This window comes from Homo sapiens, chromosome 18 (genome assembly GCF_000001405.40).
Source record: "Homo sapiens chromosome 18, GRCh38.p14 Primary Assembly".
Classification (NCBI taxonomy): domain Eukaryota; kingdom Metazoa; phylum Chordata; class Mammalia; order Primates; family Hominidae; genus Homo; species Homo sapiens.
Genome location: NC_000018.10, coordinates 26112558 through 26118595, shown reverse-complemented (window position 1 = coordinate 26118595; position 6038 = coordinate 26112558).

The window sequence follows — 6038 nt, the reverse complement described above, 5'->3', positions numbered from 1 at the left end:
CTCAGAAAGCTGAGGCAGGAGAATCGCTTCAAAGTGGCATGCAAAGGTTGCAGTGAGCTGAGATCACGCCACTGCACCCCAGCCTGGGTGACAGAGCAAGACTCTGTCTCAAAATAAAAAAATAAATAAAGTATCTTTTAATTTCTATTTTGGTAATATGATAGAACCCATGAGGGAAAAAAAAAGCTACTTGAGGTCTTCAATAATTTTAAAGAGGCAAAGTGTTCTTGAGACCAAAAGCTTTAAAGCACTAGGATAAAGCATTGCTAGTGTCCCTGGATGACTAACTGCCTTCCAGAAGCAAAAGTAAATCCTCTGTACAGGAAAATAATATCATGCAGAGTCTCAAATAATTGTTGCAATTTTTCATATGCAATATGTTCTGCTCCATCAAAAATAGCCATGCACACAAAAGACGTGTTATCACCAAACAACAAGAGAAACAATAGACGATAGAAAGAGATGAATATAAAGTTCAGATAATGAATTTATCAGGTATATATTTGTAAAACAATTAAGATAATTATATTCAAGGGATTAAAGACAAGATAGAGATTTTCAGCAGGGACTAAAAGTGTCAATAAACAGTCCATTGGAAATTGTAGAAGTGAAAACTACATTAATGGAAATTGAGAGCTCAATGAATGGATTTTAAAATGGGTCAACCTAGTTGAAGAGAGAAGTGAAGAGCTAGATGATAGTTAAAAAAAAAACTTTATCAAAGCGGCCAGAGATAAAATGATAACACTGAAAAAAAAACCATATTGGATATGTTGAAAAATCTAATGTATGTATAGTTGGGGTACCAGAAGAATAGAGATTTTAAAATAGAGTAGAAACAACATTAAAAGATACTTGGTTTAGAATTTTTTCAAAACTGACAAAAGAATAAAGCAACAGATTCAGGAAAAACTGTTACCACCAAGCAGAATAAAATTCACACTTAGAAAAACCACAATAAATCTGCTGTAAACCAAAGACAATGAGAAAATCTTAACACTATCCAAAGGAAAAAAATAGACATATTTCCAAAAAAGGAGCCACAATAGGGCTGTCAGATGATATCCAGGTGGTTACAATGGAATTCTATCTTCAACTTGCTAAAATGAAATAAATGCAAACATGATATTCTGTATTTAATAATGTTCCAAATTACAAGGCAAAATTAAGGTATTTTTCAAAAGCAGAAACCAGTCACCGACAGACACTCAGTAAAGGAAACACAAAAGAATCTTCTTTAGACAGAAAAAAATGATCAAAGATGGAAGTTTGGAGATGCAAGAAGAAATGAAGAGCATTAAGGATAATGTACATGCACAAATTCAAATAAACATTAAATAAACTCATGGGTTTATAAGAGTATTAACATTTGTGACAAAATAATATGTAAATTTGGTAAGGGGGCAAATGGAGTTAAAATATTCTAACCTCCTTTCATTATTGCAGTAAGTAGTAAAACTTCTAATTTATATTCAACTCAAGTGGTCCAGAAGGCATGTTGTAATCTCTGGGAAAACCACTAAGAGAATCATATAAGAACGTTGGCTGGGCGTGGTGGCTCACGATTGTAATCCCAGCACTTTGGGAGGCCGAGGCAGGCGGGTCACTTGAGGTGAGGAGTTCAAGACCAGCCTGGCCAATATGGTCAAACCCTGTCCTTACTAAAAATACAAAAATTAGCAGGGCGCAGTGGTGTGCGCCTATAGTCCCGACTACTCAGGAGGCTGAGACAGGAGAATCACTTGAACCCAGGAGGCGGAGGTTGCAGTGAGCTGAGATCATGCCATTGCACTCCAGCCTGGGCATCTCAGCGAGACTCTGTCTCAAAAAAAAAAAAAAAAAAAAAGAAAAGAAAAAAAATGGGCCCAGTAGCTCACGCCTGTAATCCCAGCACTTAGGGAGGCTGAGGCGGGCAGATCACAAGGTCAGGAGTTCAATACCAGCCTGACCAACATGGTGAAACCCCTTCTCTACTAAAAATACAAAAAATTAGCCAGGCATGGTGGTGCACAATTGTAATCCCAGCTACTTAGGCTGAGGCAGGAGAATCACTTGAACCCGAGAGGCGAGGTTGCATGAACTGAGATTGCGCCACTGCATTCCAGCCTGGGTGACAGATCGAGACTCCATCTCAAAAAAAAAAAAAAAAAAGAATCGTATAGGAATGTATAATCATAAATAATAAAATAATCTAAAGAACACATGAGAAGAAAGATAAAGGAACAATAAGAGACTTGGATAATAGCCAATAGTATTATAGTGGATTTAAAGATGCTACATTAATATTTATATTCTCTATAATGGAATGAGTTTTTTTAAACTTATAAGTTCAGGGATACATGTGCAGGTTTGTTAAATAGGTAAACTCAAGTCATGGGGGGTTTTGTTGTAAGGTTATTTCATCACCCAGGTATTAAGCCTAGTACTCATTAGTTATTTTTCCAGATCTTCTCCCTCCTCCCACCCTTTACCCTCTGGTAGGCTCCAGTGTCATTCCCCTCTATGTGTGTATGTGTTCTCATCATTTAGCTTCCACTTATAAGCTTCCACTTATAAGTATTATAAATACATGTGGTATTTGGCTTTGTTGCTGCAAAGGGCATAATCTCATTCTTTTTTATGGCTCCATAGTATTTCATGGTGTATGTGTTTCACATTATCTTTCTTCTATCTGTCATTGTTGGGCATTTAGGTTGATTCCCTGTCATTTCTACTGTGACTTCTGCTGCTATGAATATATATGTGCACATGTCTTTATGATTTATATTCCTTTAGGTATATAGCCATTCATGGGATTGCTGGGTCTAATGGTAGCTCTGTTCTTAGCTCTTTGATGAATTGCCACATTACTTTCCACAATGGTTGAACTAATTTCTACTCCCACCAACAGTGTATAAGCTCTCCTTTTTCTCCACAGCCTTGCCAGCACCTGTTATTTTTGACATTTTCACCATAGTCATTCTCACTGGTGTGAGATGGGATCTTATTGTGGTTTTGGTTTCCATTTCTCTAATGATCAGCAATGTTGAACTTTTTTAAATTAAATTAAATTAATTAATTTATTTATCTATTTATTTTTGAGATGGAGTCTCGCTCTGCTGCCCAGACTGGAGTGCAGTGGCGGGATCTCGGCTCACTGCAAGCTCTGCCTCCCAGGTTCATGCCCTTCTCCTGCCTCAGCCTCCCAAGTAGCTGGGACTACAGGTGCCCACCACCACGCCCGGCTAATTTTTTGTATTTTTTTAGTAGAGAGGAGGATTCACCGTGTTAGCCAGGATGGTCTCGATCTCCTGACCTTATGATCTGCCTGCCTCGGCCTCCCAAAGTGCTGGGATTACAGGTGTGAGCCACTGCACCTGGCCAGCGGTGAGCTTTTTTATACACTTGTTGGCTGCGTGTATGTCTCCTTTTGAAAACTGTCTGTTCATGTCCTTTGCCCACTTTTTAATGGGGTTGTTTTTTTTCTTGTAAATTTAAGTTCCTCATAGATGCTGGATATTAGACTTTTGTCAGATGTGTTTATTGAACAGATATTTCTTTCCCCATTGTTTATTTTTGTCAGCTGTTGAAGACCAGATGGATGTTAGGTATGAGGCTTATTTCTGGGCTCTCTATTCTGTTTTATTGGTCCATGTGTCTGTTTTTGTACCAGTACTGTGCTATTTTGGTTACTGTAGCCCTGTGGTATAGGTTGAAGTTGGGTAGCATGATGCCTCCAGCTTTCAACAGTCAAGCTGAGAGCCAAATCAGGAATGCAATCCCATTCACAATTGCTATAAAAAGAATAAAATACCTAGGAATACCCCTAACCAAGTGTATTAGTCCATTTTCACATTGCTATAAAGAGCTACCTTGACTGGGTAGTTTATAATGAAAAGAGGTTTAATTGACTCACAGTTTTTCAGGCTATAGAGGAGGCAAGACTGGGTGAGGCCTTGGGAAACTTACAGTCACGACAGAAGGCAAAGGGGGAAGCACACACGTATTCATGTGACAGGAGAGAGAGAGAGAGAAGGGGGGGATGCCACACATTTTTAAACCATGAGATCTCATGAGAACTCACTCACTATCACAAGAACAGCAAGGGGGAAATCCGCCCCCATGATCCAGTCACCTCTGACCAAGTCCTTCCTCCAAAAGTGGGAATTACAAATCAATATGAGATTTAGTTGGGGATACAGAGCCAAACCATATCATTCCACCCCAGCCCCCCTTAAACCTCATGTCCTTCTCATGTTTCAGAACACAATCATGCCTTCCCAACAGTTCCTCAATGTCTTAACTCATTCCAGCATGAATTCAAAAGTCCAAGTCCAAAGTCTCATATGAGACAAGGCAAGTCCCTTCCACTTATGAGCCTGTAAAATCAAAAACAATTTAGTTACTTCCAAGATACAATGGGAGTACAGGCATTGGGTAAATGCTCCCATTTCAAATGGGAGAATTGGCCAATATAAAGGGGCTACAGTCTCCATGGAAGTCTGAAACCCAGCAGGGCAGTCATTAAATCTTAAAGCTCTGAAATAATCTCCTTTGACTCCATGTCTGACATGCAAGGCATGCTGATACAAGGGGTGGGCTCCCAAGGCCTTGGGCAGCTCCACAAGCCTAGGTGACAGAGCAAGACTCCGTCTCAAACAAAACAAAACAACATTAAAGAGTAAAGAAACTTTGAAAGTAAAATGATGAAAAAGATACATCATGCAAACACTAAACAAAGAAAGCTAGTATAACAAAGTAGACGTTGGATCAAGATGCATAGCAAGAGAAACTGAAGGACATTTTGTAATGATAAAAGGTTTAGTTTACTGGGATACCTAACAATTCCTAATTTGTACCTAGTTCCAATCCTTGTTGTAGGAGATTTTAACAAAGTGGTTTTTTTTGGTAATTGATAAAATAAGCAGACAAAAAATTAAAACCATATAGAATATTTAAACAACCCAACTAATAAACTTGGCATCTCTTTCACTTCTGTCTATCTCTCTGTCTCACACACATACCCCAAACAACTGTGGACTAAAAATACATTTTGAACAAATGTGGAACATTTACAAAAATTGGATATATGGTAGACCATGAGGCAAGTTTTGCAAATTGTAAAGCATTAAATGCATATAGAATTTTTGCATCCCTTCCCCTAGTGCAGTTAAGCCAGGAATCAGTTACCAGCACCATAACTAGAAATTGTTTCGTAACATTTATTTTTGAGACAGGGCCTTACTCTGCCACCCAGGCTGGAGTGCAGTGGTACAGTCAGATCTCACCATAGCCTCGAACTCTTGGGCATAAGTGATCCTCCCACCTCAGCCTCCCAAGTAGCTGGGACCACAGGCACATGCCACCATGCCCACTTAGTTGAAAAAAATGCTCATGGGCCCAAGCAATCCTCCTGTCTTGGCCTCCCAAAGTGATTATAGGCATGAGTCACCATGCCCAGCCCACAACATTTTCAAAGTGTATTTGAAAAATTTGTAATGTATTTTGAAATAACCAAGGGTCAAAGAAGAATTCACAATGGAAATTAGAAAATATTTTGAACTGGATCATAACAAAAATATAATGTATTAAAACTTGTGTGATGCAGCCAAAGCAATGATCAGGAAGAAGATGATTGCATTAAGTGCACACATTAGAAAAGAAGAAAAACTAAAAATCAATTACCTCAGTATCAATTTGAAGATGTTATATTAAACAATAAGATACTTGAGATTCAGGAAAATGTCAAAACCCATTTCAAGGAAGCTAAGAATCACAATAAAATGATGCAAGTGCTCATAGATGAAATAGTTATTATAAAAAAGAACCAAACTGATCTGATAGAGCTGAAAAACAGACTATAAAAATTGCATAATGTATTGTAAGTACTAACAGCAGAATAGACCAAGCTGAAAAAAGAATCTCCAAGCTCAAAGACTGGCTCTCTGAAATAATTCACTCAGTTAAAAATAAAGGAAAAAGAGTAAAAGAGAATGAACAAAACCTCCAAGAAATACATGTTTATGTAATGAGACCAATTCTATGACTGATTGGCATCC